The sequence below is a fragment of the Homo sapiens genome, chromosome X, assembly GCF_000001405.40.
Source record: "Homo sapiens chromosome X, GRCh38.p14 Primary Assembly".
NCBI classification, from domain to species: Eukaryota; Metazoa; Chordata; class Mammalia; order Primates; family Hominidae; genus Homo; species Homo sapiens.
This window is the reverse complement of record NC_000023.11, coordinates 103880494-103897937: the sequence shown is the minus strand read 5'-3', so window position 1 is coordinate 103897937 and position 17444 is coordinate 103880494. Positions and strand designations below refer to the sequence as shown.

General features: G+C 38.8%; 1 long non-coding RNA gene across 1 annotated transcript in view; it reads left to right on the top strand.

The window, feature by feature from the left end:
- TMSB15B-AS1 (TMSB15B antisense RNA 1) overlaps positions 1-16191 on the top strand; it is a 37802-nt gene extending 21611 nt beyond the window's left edge. Inside the window, exon 5 of the long non-coding RNA NR_146557.1 lies at positions 15823-16191. This is a non-coding gene — a long non-coding RNA (TMSB15B antisense RNA 1). The remainder of the gene's footprint in view (positions 1-15822) is intronic.
- The last annotated feature ends 1253 nt before the right edge of the window (positions 16192-17444 follow it).

Below are 17444 nucleotides of genomic sequence, written 5' to 3'. Positions count from 1 at the left end.
GGACATGAACAGCCACATCTCAAAAGAAGACATTTATGCAGCCAAAACCACAATGAGATACCATCTCACACCAGTTAGAATGGTGATCATTAAAAAGTCAGGAAATAACAGGTGCTGGAGAGGATGTGGAGAAATAGGAACACTTTTACCCTGTTGGTGGGACTGTAAACTAGTTCTACCATTGTGGAAGTCAGTGTGGCAATTCCTCAGGGATCTAGAACTAGAGATACCATTTGACCCAGCCATCCCATTACTGGGTATATCCCAAAGGATTATAAATCATGCTGCTATAAAGACACATGCACACGTATGTTTATTGTGGCACTATTCACAATAGCAAAGACTTGGAACCAACCCACATGTCCAACAATGATAGACTGGATTAAGAAAATGTGGCACGGAGAGAGGAGCCAAGATGGCCGAATAGGAACAGCTCCGGTCTACAGCTCCCAGCGTGAGCGACGCGGAAGACGGGTGATTTCTGCATTTCCATCTGAGGTACCGGGTTCATCTCACTGGGGAGTGCCAGACAGTGGGCGCAGGCCAGTAGGTGCGCGCACTGTGCGCGAGCCGAAGCAGGGCGAGGCATTGCCTCACCTGGGAAGTGCAAGGGGTCAGGGAGTTCCCTTTCCGAGTCAAAGAAAGGGGTGACGGACGCACCTGGAAAATTGGGTCACTCCCACCCGAATATTGCGCTTTTCAGACCGGCTTAAAAAACGGCACACCACGAGACTATATCCCACACCTGGCTCGGAGGGTCCTACGCCCACGGAGTCTCGCTGATTGCTAGCACAGCAGTCTGAGATCAAACTGCAAGGCGGCAGCGAGGCTGGGGGAGGGGCGCCCGCCATTGCCCAGGCTTGCTTAGGTAAACAAAGCAGCCGGCAAGCTCGAACTGGGTGGAGCCCACCACAGCTCAAGGAGGCCTGCCTGCCTCTGTAGGCTCCACCTCTGGGGGCAGGGCACAGACAAACAAAAAGACAGCAGTAACCTCTGCAGACTTAAATGTCCCTGTCTAACAGCTTTGAAGAGAGCAGTGGTTCTCCCAGCACGCAGCTGGAGATCTGAGACCGGGCAGACTGCCTCCTCAAGTGGGTCCCTGACCCCTGACCCCCGAGCAGCCTAACTGGGAGGCACCCCCCAGCAGGAGCACACTGACACCTCACACGGCAGGGTATTCCAACAGACCTGCAGCTGAGGGTCCTGTCTGTTAGAAGGAAAACTAACAAACAGAAAGGACATCCACACCGAAAACCCATCTGTACATCAACATCATCAAAGACCAAAAGTAGATAAAACCACAAAGATGGGGAAAAAACAGAACAGAAAAACTGGAAACTCTAAAACGCAGAGCGCCTCTCCTCCTCCAAAGGAACGCAGTTCCTCACCAGCAACGGAACAAAGCTGGATGGAGAATGATTTTGACGAGCTGAGAGAAGAAGACTTCAGACGATCAAATTACTCTGAGCTACGGGAGGACATTCAAACCAAAGGCAAAGAAGTTGAAAACTTGGAAAAAATTTAGAAGAATGTATAACTAGAATAAGCAATACAGAGAAGTGCTTAAAGGAGTTGATGGAGCTGAAAACCAAGGCTCGAGAACTACGTGAAGAATGCAGAAGCCTCAGGAGCCGATGCGATCAACTGGAAGAAAGGGTATCAGCAATGGAAGATGAAATGAATGAAATGAAGCGAGAAGGGAAGGTTAGAGAAAAAAGAATAAAAAGAAATGAGCAAAGCCTCCAAGAAATATGGGACTATGTGAAAAGACCAAATCTATGTCTGATTGGTGTACCTGAAAGTGATGCGGAGAATGGAACCAAGTTGGAAAACACTCTGCAGGATATTATACAGGAGAACTTCCCCAATCTAGCAAGGCAGGCCAACGTTCAGATTCAGGAAATACAGAGAACACCACAAAGATACTCCTCGAGAAGAGCAACTCCAAGACACATAATTGTCAGATTCACCAAAGTTGAAATGAAGGAAAAAATGTTAAGGGCAGCCAGAGAGAAAGGTCGGGTTACCCACAAAGGGAAGCCCATCAGACTAACAGCGGATCTCTCGGCAGAAACCCTACAAGCCAGAAGAGAGTGGGGGCCAATATTCAACATTCTTAAAGAAAAGAATTTTCAACCCAGAATTTCATATCCAGCCAAACTAAGCTTCATAAGTGAAGGAGAAATAAAATACTTTACAGACAAGCAAATGCTGAGAGATTTTGTCACCACCAGGCCTGCCCTAAAAGAGGTCCTGAAGGAAGCACTAAACATGGAAAGGAACAACCGGTACCAGCCGCTGCAAAATCATGCCAAAATGTAAAGACCATCGAGACTAGGAAGAAACTGCATCAACTAACAAGCAAAATAACCAGCTAACATCATAATGACAGGATCAAATTCACACATAACAATATTAACTTTAAATGTAAATGGACTAAATTCTCCAATTAAAAGACACAGACTGGCAAGTTGGATAAAGAGTCAAGACCCATCAGTGTGCTGTATTCAGGAAACCCATCTCACGTGCAGAGACACACATAGGCTCAAAATAAAAGGATGGAGGAAGATCTACCAAGCAAGTGGAAAACAAAAAAAGGCAGGGGTTGCAATCCTAGTCTCTGATAAAACAGACTTTAAACCAACAAGGATCAAAAGAGACAAAGAAGGCCATTACATAATGGTAAAGGGATCAATTCAACAAGAGGAGCTAACTATCCTAAATATATATGCACCCAATACAGGAGCACCCAGATTCATAAAGCAAGTCCTGAGTGACCTACAAAGAGACTTAGACTCCCACACATTAATAATGGGAGACTTTAACACCCCACTGTCAACATTAGACAGATCAACGAGACAGAAAGTCAACAAAGATACCCAGGAATTGAACTCAGCTCTGCACCAAGCAGACCTAATAGACATCTACAGAACTCTCCACCCCAAATCAACAGAATATACATTTTTTTCAGCACCACACCACACCTATTCCAAAATTGACCACATAGTTGGAAGTAAAGCACTCCTCAGCAAATGGAAAAGAACAGAAATTATAACAAACTATCTCTCAGACCACCGTGCAATCAAACTAGAACTCAGGATAAAGAATCTCACTCAAAGCCGCTCAACTACATGGAAACTGAACAACCTGCTCCTGAATGACTACTGGGTACATAACGAAATGAAGGCAGAAATAAAGAAGTTCTTTGAAACCAACGAGAACAAAGACACAACATACCAGAATCTCTGGGACGCATTCAAAGCAGTGTGTAGAGGGAAATTTATAGCACTAAATGCCCACAAGAGAAAGCAGGAAAGATCCAAAATTGACACCCTAACATCACAATTAAAAGAACTAGAGAAGCAAGAGCAAACACATTCAAAAGCTAGCAGAAGGCAAGAAATAACTAAAATCAGAGCAGAACTGAAGGAAATAGAGACACAAAAAACCCTTCAAAAAATCAATGAATCCAGGAGCTGGTTTTTTGAAAGGATCAACAAAATTGATAGACCGCTAGTAAGACTAATAAAGAAAAAAAGAGAGAAGAATCAAATAGACACAATAAAAAATGATAAAGGGGATATCACCACCGATCCCACAGAAATACAAACTACCATCAGAGAATACTACAAACACCTCTACGCAAATAAACTAGAAAATCTAGAAGAAATGGATACATTCCTCGACACATACACTCTCCCAAGACTAAACCAGGAAGAAGTTGAATCTCTGAATAGACCAATAACAGGAGCTGAAATTGTGGCAATAATCAATAGCTTACCAACCAAAAAGAGTCCAGGACCAGATGGATTCACAGCCGAATTCTACCAGAGGTACAAGGAGGAACTGGTACCATTCCTTCTGAAACTATTCCAATCAATAGAAAAAGAGGGAATCCTCCCTAACTCATTTTATGAGGCCAGCATCATCCTGATACCAAAGCTGGGCAGAGACACAACCAAAAAAGAGAATTTTAGACCAAAATCCTTGATGAACATTGATGCAAAAATCCTCAATAAAATACTGGCAAACCGAATCCAGCAGCACATCAAAAAGCTTATCCACCATGATCAAGTGGGCTTCATCCCTGGGATGCAAGGCTGGTTCAATATACGCAAATCAATAAATGTAATCGAGCATATAAACAGAGCCAAAGACAAAAACCACATGATTATCTCAATAGATGCAGAAAAAGCCTTTGACAAAATTCAACAACCCTTCATGCTAAAAACTCTCAATAAATTAGGTATTGATGGGATGTATTTCAAAATAATAAGAGCTATCTATGACAAACCCACAGCCAATATCATACTGAATGGGCAAAAACTGGAAGCATTCCCTTTGAAAACTGGCACAAGACAGGGATGCCCTCTCTCACCGCTCCTATTCAACATAGTGTTGGAAGTTCTGGCCAGGGCAATCAGGCAGGAGAAGGAAATAAAGGGTATTCAATTAGGAAAAGAGGAAGTCAAATTGTCCATGTTTGCAGACGACATGATTGTTTATCTAGAAAACCCCATCATCTCAGCCCAAAATCTCCTTAAGCTGATAAGCAACTTCAGCAAAGTCTCAGGATACAAAATCAATGTACAAAAATCACAAGCATTCCTATACACCAACAACAGACAAACAGAGAGCCAAATCATGAGTGAACTCCCATTCACAATTGCTTCAAAGAGAATAAAATACCTAGGAATCCAACTTACAAGGGATGTGAAGGACCTCTTCAAGGAGAACTACAAACCACTGCTCAAGGAAATAAAAGAGGATACAAAGAAATGGAAGAACATTCCATGCTCATGGGTAGGAAGAATCAATATCGTGAAAATGGCCATACTGCCCAAGGTAATTTATAGATTCAATGCCATCCCCATCAAGCTACCAATGACCTTCTTCACAGAATTGGAAAAAACTACTTTAAAGTTCATATGGAACCAAAAAAGAGCCCGCATTGCCAAGTCAATCCTAAGCCAAAAGAACAAAGCTGGAGGCATCACACTACCTGACTTCAAACTATACTACAAGGCTACAGTAACCAAAACAGCATGGTACTGGTACCAAAACAGAGATATAGATCAATGGAACAGAACACAGCCCTCAGAAATAACGCCACATATCTACAACTATCTGATCTTTGACAAACCTGAGAAAAACAAGCAATGGGGAAAGGATTCCCTATTTAATAAATGGTGCTGGGAAAACTGGCTAGCCATATGTAGAAAGCTGAAACTGGATCCCTTCCTTACACCTTATATAAAAATCAATTCAAGATGGATTAAAGATTTAAAAGTTAGACCTAAAACCATAAAAACCCTAGAAGAAAACCTAGGCATTACCATTCAGGACATAGGCGTGGGCAAGGACTTCATGTCCAAAACACCAAAAGCAATGGCAACAAAAGCCAAAATTGACAAATGGGATCTAATTAAACTAAAGAGCTTCTGCACAGCAAAAGAAACTACCATCAGAGTGAACAGGCAACCTACAACATGGAAGAAAATTTTCGCAACCTACTCATCTGACAAAGGGCTAATATCCAGAATCTACAATGAACTCAAACAAATTTACAAGAAAAAAACAAACAACCCCATCAAAAATTGGGCGAAGGACATGAACAGACACTTCTCAAAAGAAGACATTTATGCAGCCAAAAAACACATGAAAAAATGCTCATCATCACTGGCCATCAGAGAAATGCAAATCAAAACCACTATGAGATATCATCTCACACCAGTTAGAATGTCAATCATTAACAAGTCAGGAAACAACAGGTGCTGGAGAGGATGTGGAGAAATAGGAACACTTTTACACTGTTGGTGGGACTGTAAACTAGTTCAACCATTGTGGAAGTCAGTGTGGCGATTCCTCAGGGATCTAGAACTAGAAATACCATTTGACCCAGCCATCCCATTACTGGGTATATACCCAAATGACTATAAATCATGCTGCTATAAAGACACATGCACACGTATGTTTATTGCGGCATTATTCACAATAGCAAAGACTTGGAACCAACCCAAATGTCCAACAATGATAGACTGGATTAAGAAAATGTGGCTCATATACACCATGGAATACTATGCAGCCATAAAAAATGATGAGTTCATGTCCTTTGTAGGGAGATGGATGAAATTGGAAACCATCATTCTCAGTAAACTATCGCAAGAACAAAAAACCAAACACCGCATATTCTCACTCATAGGTGGGAATTGAACAATGAGATCACATGGACACAGGAAGGGGAATATCACACTCTGGGGACTGTGGTGGGGAGGGGGGAGGGGGGAGGGATAGCATTGGGAGATATACCTAATGCTAGACGACGAGTTAGTGGGTGCAGCGCACCAGCATGGCACATGTATAGATATGTAACTAACCTGCACAATGTGCACATGTACCCTAAAACTTAAAGTATAATTAAAAAAAAAAAAAGAAAAGAAAATGTGGCACATATACACCATGGAATACTATGCAGCCATAAAAAATGATGAGTTCATGTCCTTTGTAGGGACATGGATGAAGCTGGAAACCATCATTCTCAGCAAACTATCACAAGGACAAAAAACCAAACACCACATGTTCTCACTCATAGGTGGGAATTGAACAGTGAGAACACTTGGACACAGGAAGGGGAACATCACACACCAGGGCCTGTTGTGTGGTGGGGGAGGGTGGAGGGGTAGCATTGGGAGATATACCTAATGTTAAATGACAAGTTAATGGGTGCAGCACACCAACATGGCACATGTATATATATGTAACAAACCTGCACGTTGTGCACATGTACCCTAAAACTTAAAGTGTAATAAAAATAAATAAATAAATAAAGACAAAAACAAAAGCTGATTGACGTATCTATCACCTGTTGTTCACTTACCTATTGTTTATGCTGATGAGACATTCAAAATATATAATATGTTATTAGTTAGTTTGAAATCTATGATACATTATTATTGACTACAGCCACCCTAGTGTGCAATAAATATCAAAACTAAAAAAAAAGAAAAAAGAAAAAGAAACAGGAGAAAGGTAGGCAATTAAAAAAAATTAGGATGACTGCTTTTTGCTCAAGCAACTTGAATGTTAATATTTATTTTAATGTTTTCTAATTTCCACTGTGTTTTCTTCATGGCCCTAGTACTTTTTGTTGATTTATTATTATATACATGTATTGCTTTATCTCAAAGCAGTTGGAGATTTTCCATTTTTAAATAATTGATTTGTAGTTTTTTACCTCTGTGGAAAGGAAATAAACTTTGTGAATCTATTCTTGAAATTTGTTGATTTGCTTCAATGCCCAATATTTCATCAGTTTTCTTAAATATTCCACTCACTGTTTAAAAATAAAATTAAATAACCCTTTTATAATAATGTAGGAACCTGTAAATGACATTTTGAAAAAAAAAAGTTATCTGTAAAGCAATTTGTAAGAGAGCAACTAGGTTCCATTTTATAGTTGGCAAACCACAGAGACACAGCCTTTGATGTAAAATAAAGATGTGTTCCAAAGAAGAAAGGAAGAATTCAAGTTTTATAGCAAAATTTCCTTCCCAGGTTCCCTTTCAGGTAGGTTTGTGCAAAATGAAGGATTCTGACTCATTTAGTTTTGATGGATGATAGAACTGAGCCCTGATTAGTCGAGACAGTTGAGCCTTGGTTGGTTGAGGCCCGTGAGCTCTGATTGGTTGGTTCAAGTGAGCTCTGGAAGTTTCACAGTTTGTTCTGTTATTAGTCTCTTACCTTTGTGTGTGTGAGTTCTGATTGGTTGGTTCGAGTAAGCTCTGGAAGTCTCACAGTTTAGTCTGTTATTAGTTTATTACCTTTGTGTTTGTCCGTGTGTGTGTGTGTGTGATGAGAGCACATAAAATCTATTCTCTTAGCAAATTTTTAACATACAATACAATATTATTAACTACAGCTCTACTCTTGTAGAAATCTCTAAATTTATTTATCCTGCAAAACTACAAATTTGCATTCTTTAATTTACATCTCCCCATTTCCTGCCACCCCCCCTCCACACCTGCTAACCACCCTTCTACTCTATTTCTGTGTGTTTGACTTTTTTTCTTAGATCTTACGTATAAGTGAGATACAGCATTTTTCTTTCTGTTATTGGCTTATTTCACTTAATAAACCTGGAGGTTTATCCTCCAGGTTCATCCATATTGTCATAATGGCATTATACCCTTCTTTTCTAAGGTCAAATAATATCTTAATGTGTGTGTATATGTCTATGTCTATATACAGATATAGATGTCACAACTTTTTATCAATTCATACATCTATGAGCACTGAGTTTGCCATTGTGAATAAAGCCACAATGAACGTGGCAGTACAGATATGTCCTGAAAAGATCTACAAAGCCAAGCAGATAATTTGAATAAGTAGAGTGGACCAAGCCTGTTTTGCTCCCTTCTAGGACGGCAGCATGTTGCAGTACAAGTGAAACATTTGTAAATATTTGAATAATGTTTTTATTGGCTCTGTTTGTATGATGAATGATTCTCCTGCACTGCTCCCCCACCTCCAACCGCAAAATATTACCAGCATCCATTGGAATGCACGTATTATCCTAATCACTGGGTTTTGACCAGTCTAGGTACTCCACTAAAGATATTTTCTTTCCTTGACTCCAGAAGAGAAACTAATAGCCCATGTGATTTTTGGGAAAAGGGGTTTGAACAGAACTTTGGAGATGAAGAGTGGGCTATGGGTTAAAAGTGTAATATGATGCAATACCCAAAATGTGGTGTACATGCCTCTTCAGGTACATGAGATAGTTTTAAGTGGTACACAGACTTGTAAGGAATTTTTTATTTGTATAAATATAAGAGGTACAGGTGCAGTTTTGTTACATGGATATATTGCACAGTGGTGAAGTCCAGGCCTTCAGTGTAACCATCACCCAAATAGTGTACATTGTACCCATTAAGCAATTTCTGATCCTTCACCCTCCTCCCACCTTTCCAAGTCTCCAATGTTTATTATTCCACGCTCTATGTCCACGGAGGTACACAGATTTTTAAAAACAGTTTATGCCGTTTAATTAAAAATATGTCAATAACATGTTATCTGTGAAACCATAGATATTATTGCTTACAAAATACAAAAAAGTTATTTAAAATCAGTTAATTAAAATAGCTTTCTTAAATAAATAATTGTATGGGTGATATGCACATATGGCAAAAAAGGATCAAACTGTTAGTGGAATGACTAGTTAACATGTTGTCAAAATGCCTAGGAATCAGACAAACCTGGTTCAAACCTCACCCACCACTTACTAGCCATGTGACTTTAGGCAAGTAACCTAATTTCTCTGAGTCTCAGGGTAAAATAAGAATAATAACAGTACCTGCTTCACTGGGTTGTTGTTAAGCTTAAGTGAGGTGCATTATAGTGTAGTGATGGGGTGCACAAAATCTAAAGCTAGATGCCCTGGTTTCAAATCCAAGCTCTACCACTTACCAGCTAAGTGATGTTGAGCAACTTACTTAACCTTTATGTGCCTTAATTTTCCCACCTGTAAGTGGGATTATTATGAGGGTTGTATGAGTTAATACCTTTGGAGTGCTTAGAAACATTCTAGTATATATTAAGTGTTCCTTGGAAACAATCCTAGTGTAAGCATTATGTGTTTGTTAGATTAAAAATAAACGTGTAGTCTGAACACGGTGGCTGACCCCTATAATCCCAGCACTTTGGGAGGTCAAGGTGAGAGGATCGCTTGAGCCCAGGAGTTCAAGATCATCCTGGGCAACATAGCAAGGCACTGTCTCTACAAAAAAATTGAAAAAGTAGCCAGATGTGGTAGTGCACACTTGTAGTCACAGCTACTCAGGAAACTAGACAGGAGGATTGCTGGAGCCCAGGAGTTTGAGGCTGCAGTAAGCCATGATTGTGCCACTGCATTCCAGCCTGGCAGACAGAATGAGACCCTGTCTCAAGAAAAGAATAAAAATAAAAAATAAATGTCTACACATCTCACAAAATTTAGCAAGTTCTCATGAAATGTAACCCATTGATGTTGCTTTGGATTTCCAACACCAAAATGAAATAAATATGCAATCAGCATTTGATTAAGAGGCAGCATTTAATTGCTCAGCATACACAGAGAACTAGCAAACTCCAGCACCTCTCTGCAGTAGGAATTAAAAACAAGTCTCATGGAAGCTGGGTCTTCTTCAAGGACTATCAGGAGTGAGGTTAGAAAGAAGCCCCAAGTTATCTTTCTGTATCCTGCTAAGGTTAAGTGTGGGCCATTTCAATTTACAGATGAGGAAATTAGGTCTCAGAGAAATTAAGCAAGCTGCCCAATGTTATGAAGCATATAAATGATAAAGCTAGATGGTATGCTACCTTTATGGAAGACCCTACATCCCAAGCAGAGGAATTTAGAGTTTATCCAGTGAAGTGGGGAGATAAAATGTGTATTTTATGGAAATTAGTATGGTAGAGGTATAGTGATGATGAGAGTAATATAACAACAATATCATTAGTTGAGATTCTACCACTATTATTGGATACCTCTGAAACATTCTTAGATATCCAGTCTTAAAAAACTCTCCTGTGATACCACACCTCACTTTTGCTACTCACTGACCAGTATCCATTTTCTGTTTTTAATTCAAACTTCTTTGAAAGAGTACTCTGTTTATATGTCCATTTCTCATCACCCACTCACTCCTCAAATGATTGAAGTTTGGCTTTTATTCCCCAACCCATCCCTATCCCCCAACACATACTCCAACAAATCTAGCCTCATCAACCTTCAAATACACACATACCTTGAACATATTGTGGGTTCAGTTCCAGACGACTGCAATGAAGTAAATTATCACAATAAAGTCAGTAACACAAATTTTTTGGTTTCCTAGTATATATAAAAGTTATATTTACACTATACTGTAGTCTCTTAAGTATACAATAGCATTATTCTAAAAAACATATGTAACTTAATTTAAAAATACTTTGCTGCTAAAAAATGCTAATGATCATCTGAGCCTTTAATGAGTTGTAATCTTACTGGTGGAGGAGGGTCTTCCTTTGATGTTGATGGTTGCTGACTGATAAGGATGGCAGTTGCTGATGGTTGGGGTGGCTGTGGCAATTTCTTAAAATAAAACAGCAATGAAGTTGGCCACATCAATTGACTCTTCCTTTCATGAAAGATTTCTCTGTGGCATGTGATGCTGTTTAATAGCATTTACCTACAGTAGAACTTCTTTCAAAATTGGAGTCAGTGCTTTCAAACCCTGACACTGTTTTATCAACTAAATTTATGTAATATTCTAAATCCTTTGTTGTCATTTCAACACTATTCACAGCACCTTCACCAAGAGTAGATGCCATCTCAAGAAGCTACTTTGCTCATCCATAAGAAACCACTCCCCCATGCTCATGGATAGGAAGAACCAATATTGTGAAAATAGCCTTACTGCCCAAAGTAATTTATAGATTCAATGCTATCCCCATCAAGCTACCAGTGACTTTCTTCACAGAATTGGAAAAAACTACTTTAAAGTTCATATGGAACCAAAAAGGAGCCCGCATAGCCAAGACACTCCTAAGCAAAAAGAACAAAGCTGGAGGCATCACGCTACCTGACTTCAAACTATACTGCAAGGTTACAGTAACCAAAACAGCATGGTACTGGTACCAAAACAGATATATAAACCAAAGGAACCAAACAGAGCCCTCAGAAATAATGCCACATATCTACAACTATCTGATCTTTCACAAATGTGACAAAAACAAGAAATGGGGAAAAGATTCCCTATTTAATAAATGGTGCTCGGAAAACTGGCTAGCCATATGTAGAAAGCTGAAACTGGATCCCTTCATTACACTGTATACAAAATTTAACTCAAGACGGATTAAAGATTTAAATGTAAGACCTAACACCATAAAAACCCTAGAAGAAAACCTAGGCAATACCATTCAGGACATAGGCATGGGCAAAGACTTCATGACTAAAACACCAAAGGCAATGGCAACAAAAGCCAAAATTGACAAATGGGATCTAATTAAACTAAAGAGCTTCTGCACAGCAAAATAAACTATCATCGGAGTGAACAGGCAACCTACAGAATGGGAGAAAATTTTTGCAATCTACCCACCTGACAAAGGGCTAATATCCAGAATCTACAAAGACCTTAAACAAATTTACAAGAAAAAACAACCCCATCAAAAAGTGGGCAAAGGATATGAACAGACACTTCTCAAAAGAAGACATTTATGCAGCCAACAGACATATGAAAAAATGCTCATCATCACTGGTCATCAGAGAAATGCAAATCAAAAACAATGAGTTACCATCTCATGCCAGTTAGAATGGAGATCATTAAAAAGTCAGGAAGCAACAGATGCTGGAGAGGATGTGGAGAAATAGGAATGCTTTTACACTGTTGGTGGGAGTGAAAATTAGTTCAACCATTGTGGAAGACAGTGTGGCAAGGATCTAGAACTAGAAATACCATTTAACCCAGCAATCCCATTACTGGGCATATACCCAAAGGATTGTAAATCATTCTATGATAAAGACACATGCACACATATGTTTATTGTGGCACTATTCACAATAGCAAAGACTTGGAACCAACCCAAATGTCCATCAGTGATAGATTGGATTAAGAAAATGTGGCACATATACACCATTGAATACTATGCAGCCATAAAAATGGATGAGTTCATGTCCTTTGCAGGTTAATGGACGAAGTTGGAAACTCTCATTCTCAGCAAACTATCACAAGGACAGAAAACCAAACACCGCATGTTCTCACTCATAGGTGGGAGTTGCACAATGATAACACATGGACACAGGGAAGGGATCATCACACACTGGGGCCAGTCAGGTGATGGGGAGCTGGGGGAGGGATAGCATTAGGAGAAATACCTAATGTAAATGATGAGTTGATGGGTGCAGCAAACCAACATGGCACATGTATGCCTATGTAACAAACCTGCATGTTGTGCAGATGTACCCTAGAACTTAATGTATAATAATAATTTTTAAAAAAGAAACAACTCCTCATCCATTCAAGATTTATCAAGAGATTGCAGCAATTCTGCCACATCTTCAGGCTACACTTCTAATTCTAGTTCTCTTGCTATTTCCACCACATCTGCAGTGACTTTCTCCACTGAAGTCTTGAACCCCTCAAAGTTATCCATGAGAGTTCGAATCAACTTCTTCCAAACTCCTGTAAATGTTGATATTTTGACCTCCTCCCATAAACCATGAAAGTTCTTAATGGCATCTAGAATGGTGAATCCTTTCCAGAGGTTTTCAATTTTCTTTGCTCAGATCCATGAGAGGAATCAATATCTACAGCAGCTATAGCCTTATGAAATGTATTTCTTAAATAGTAAGACTTGAAAGTCAAAGTTACACCGTGATCTATGGGCTACAGAATGAATGCTGTGTTAGCAGGCATGAAAACAACATTAACCTCCTTGTATATCTTCATCAGGGCTCTTGGGTGACTAGGTACATTGTCAATGAGCCATAATATTTTGAAAGGAATCTTTTTTTCTGAGCAGTAGGTCTCAGTAGTGGGCTTAAAATATTCAGTAAATTATGCTGTAAACAAATGTGTTATCATCCAGGCTTTGTTGTTTCATTTCTAGAGCACAGGCAGCATAGATTTGGCATAATTCTTAAGGGCCCAAGGATTTTCGGAATGGTCAATAAGAATTGGCTTCGAATTAAAATCACCAGCTGCATTAGCCTCTAACAAGAAAGTCAGCCTGTCCTTTAAGTCATTGAAGCCAGGCATTGACTTCTCTCTATCTGTGAAAGTCCTAGATGGCGTCTTATTCCAATATAAGGCTGTTTTGTCTGCATTGAAAATTTGTTGTTTTGTGTAGCCACTTTCATCGATTATCTTAGCTAGATTTTCTAGATAACTTTTTGCAACTTTTACATCAGCACTTGCCACTTCACCTTGCACTTTTATGTTATGAAGATAGCTTCTTTCCTTGAACCTCATGAACCAGCCTCTGCTGGCTTCCAACTTTTCTTCTGCAGCTTCCTTATCTCTCTCAACCTCTGCAGAATTGAAGAGAATTAGGGCCCTGCTCTGGGTTAGGCTTTGGCTTAAGGGAATGTTGTAGCTTGTTTGAATTTCTATGGAGACAACTCAAACTTTTTCCATATGGGCAGTAAGTCTGTTTTGCTTTCTTATCATTCACGTGTTCACTGGAGTAACACTTTCAATTTCCTCCACAAACTTTTCCCTTGTGTTCACAACTTGGCTGACTGTCTGGTACAAGAGGCCTAGCTTTTAGCCTATGTTAGCTTTCAACTTTCCTTCCTCACTAAGCTTAATCATTTCTAGCTTTTGATTTAAAGTGAGAGACATGTGACTATTCCTTTCACTTGAACTCTTAGAGGCCACCGTAGGGTTATTAATTAGCCTAATTTCAATATTGTTGTGTCTCAGGGAATAGGGAGGCCTGAGTTAGCCTGCCATCTTATATGGGCACAGTTCATGGTACCCCAAAAGAATTACAACGGTAACATCAAAGATCACTGATCACTGCAACAGATATAATAATAGTGAAAAAGTTAGAAATACTGCAAGAATTATCAAAAGGTGACACAGAGACACAAAATGAGAACATGCTGTTGGAAAAATGTCGCTGATAGACTTGTCTGATGCAGAATTGCTCCAAGTCTTTAATTCATAAAAAACACAGTATCTGCCAAGTGCAATAGAGTGAAGTGCAATAAAATGAGATAGGCCTGTATTTATCACTATGTACAAGGTAGGCACCATTCTAAATTATACATCTACGTCCTCACTTAGTCCTCACAATACCCATGAGATAGGTAACATTATTTCCATTTTACAGATGAGGAAATAGACCCAGAAAAATTAAGTAACTTGCTCAAAATCACAGAGCTTTAAGGCAGAACTTTTGGCCAAAATGTATGTCTTACTGTCAATTTATGGCCACTGTGCTAACATATTGTCAGATTGCCTGGTGTCTTACATTCATAAGACTTGTTTCTGAAAGAATCTCGCAAACCAAAGATTGGTAAATTTGATTTCTATTATGGGAAAGTGGATGGAATCTGAAATAAAAACCAATATTAATTTGCTTTTATTTGTATACGGAAACTCTGGAAAGATAAACAATAAACTATTAGGCTGTGCTGTCCAATATGGTAGACACTAGTCATGTGTGGCTCTTGAGCACTTGACATGTGCCTAGTGCAACTGAGAAAGTGACTTTTTAATTTCAAAAAATTAAATTAAAATAGCCACCTGTGGCTGCTAGCTACTGTATTGGACAGTGCCAATATAGAACATTTCATTATCAGAAATTTCTATTGGACAGTGCTGCTATAGAGAGCAGGGGGAAATGGTGTATAGGAGCAAGGGTGATAGTGAAATTTTTATGTATGTATATATTTTTACCTTTAATTTGGATATATATTATTTTTTCAATATTCTGATTAAAGTATTATCATTAATGCTTAAGCAAACATTACGTATTGGAGAGAAACCAGCATGATATTTCAAGTGGAAACATATTTCTTTAAAAAAACAATGTTAACATTTATTTTAGATTCAGGGGATATACATGCAGGTTTGTTGCATGGGTATATTGCATGCTGCGGGTAGGATGTAATAACCCTCTCTTCTGACCTTTGCTAAGGCTAACCTGCCTGCCTATTTTGACCTGCATTTCCTTCTTCTCACTTTCCCTGACTCTGTACCTTGGCTACTGACACAGACCTCAGGCTCACTTTGTTTTGAAATATGACATGTTTGTGTGTGCTTTCTCCCACCTAACTCTTGACGCTTTCTTACACAGGAGTGCACACATGCTTCTGTCTTCACATATGCACAGCTGAAAGTGAGATGATTTCTCTACTCCACAGTTGGGAAGGGGGATTAGACAACAGAGAAGATGGAGAAGACAAAAGGGCTTGTGGAAAACTGCAAGTCAACATTTCTTTGGTAAGGCAGTTACCACACATGAGCACTGGCTGCCAAGCAAAGACTATGGTTCACTGAAGAGAACCTGACAGGAGTAGCCACCCCTCTGTTTCAGGCAGTAATTGCCATGTGAGACTGTGATGGTTGTCCAGATCTTCTGATTATTCAAGTAAAGCTGGAAATTTAGATTTGTATTTGATCCCTCACATCTTTAAATGCAGGCAACTAATTAAAATTAAAAGAAAACCTTCTGTCCAACATTTTGCAATCTCCAAATTATTGAAATTTTTGAAAAGCAGCTGATGTGTTTTTACGTCAAAGGTAATTCTTACCATTTTTACTTTTTCACAATGGAAATAGATTTTTTCTGATTATAAAAACACACGTTCATTTTTAAACTTACCTGTATTCACACTACCCCAAGAAACCATTTTTAAACTTTTGATGTTTTTCCTTGTTGTTTTTCTACTTACTGGGAGGATGCCATATGCACATCCCAATAGACAGAAAATTTCACATTTTTAATGTGAAAATTTTACAATAGTTGTTTACTCACATTAGTAGTTATGCATCTACATTATTATTTTTAATAGCTACATGGTATTCCATTGTGTGGTTGACACATTATTAATCCAATTCTCTATTGATGGATATTTAGGTGTTTATAATTTTTCATTATTACAAACAATACTGGAATACACATTCATAACCACTTTTAAAAACATGTTCACTATATAAGATGGAGGGAGAAATTTTATCATAGAAGTTTTGTTTTTCAGAGTAGGAAAACCTGGGATTCAGTACTAGGATCCATCTTAGTTCATACTTTTATAAAAGGCGTGGAAGACAGAGAACATACCAATTTTGCAGTAGATTTATTCAAGTAAACTATGACAAGTCAGCAGTGAAAAATTGCAGAAACAAGCAATGAGTGGTCAAGAAAGTGTAAGATGAACCTCAATGTGGAAAAGTATAGTAATACATTTAGAGAAACACATGCCAAACTATATAAAGAGTATTATCAGATTATTACATAGCACTGCTTGCTGCCACACCAGAGAAATGATTCTGTCTCGATGGGTCAATTCTTAGATCATTTAATTATCTGTCATCGAAAATGTAGCAAACTTGACAGCAGTAATATATACTATAAACGTGCAATAGCAAGAGCATTGAGCGCTGAACTAGAAATCACATCTGAATTTAGACTGAGCTCAGCTGCTTACTGTGATTTTGAGAAAATTGATTAGCCCCTCTGTGTCTCAGTTTTCATATCTGTTTAATACTTTATTGTCATGGTGATTATGAAGACCCAATAAACTATACATAAATTTGTTTGCTTAAAGAATATGATCATATTTGTTAAGGCCTCTCAGGAAAGGTGCAAAAAATAGATACACTCTACCTATACAGTGTTGAGCAGACAAGTAAGGCAAGGCCAGGTCTGACAAATTTTGCCAGTAAATATGAAACAAGCCCTTTTCAGATTTAGAAAGT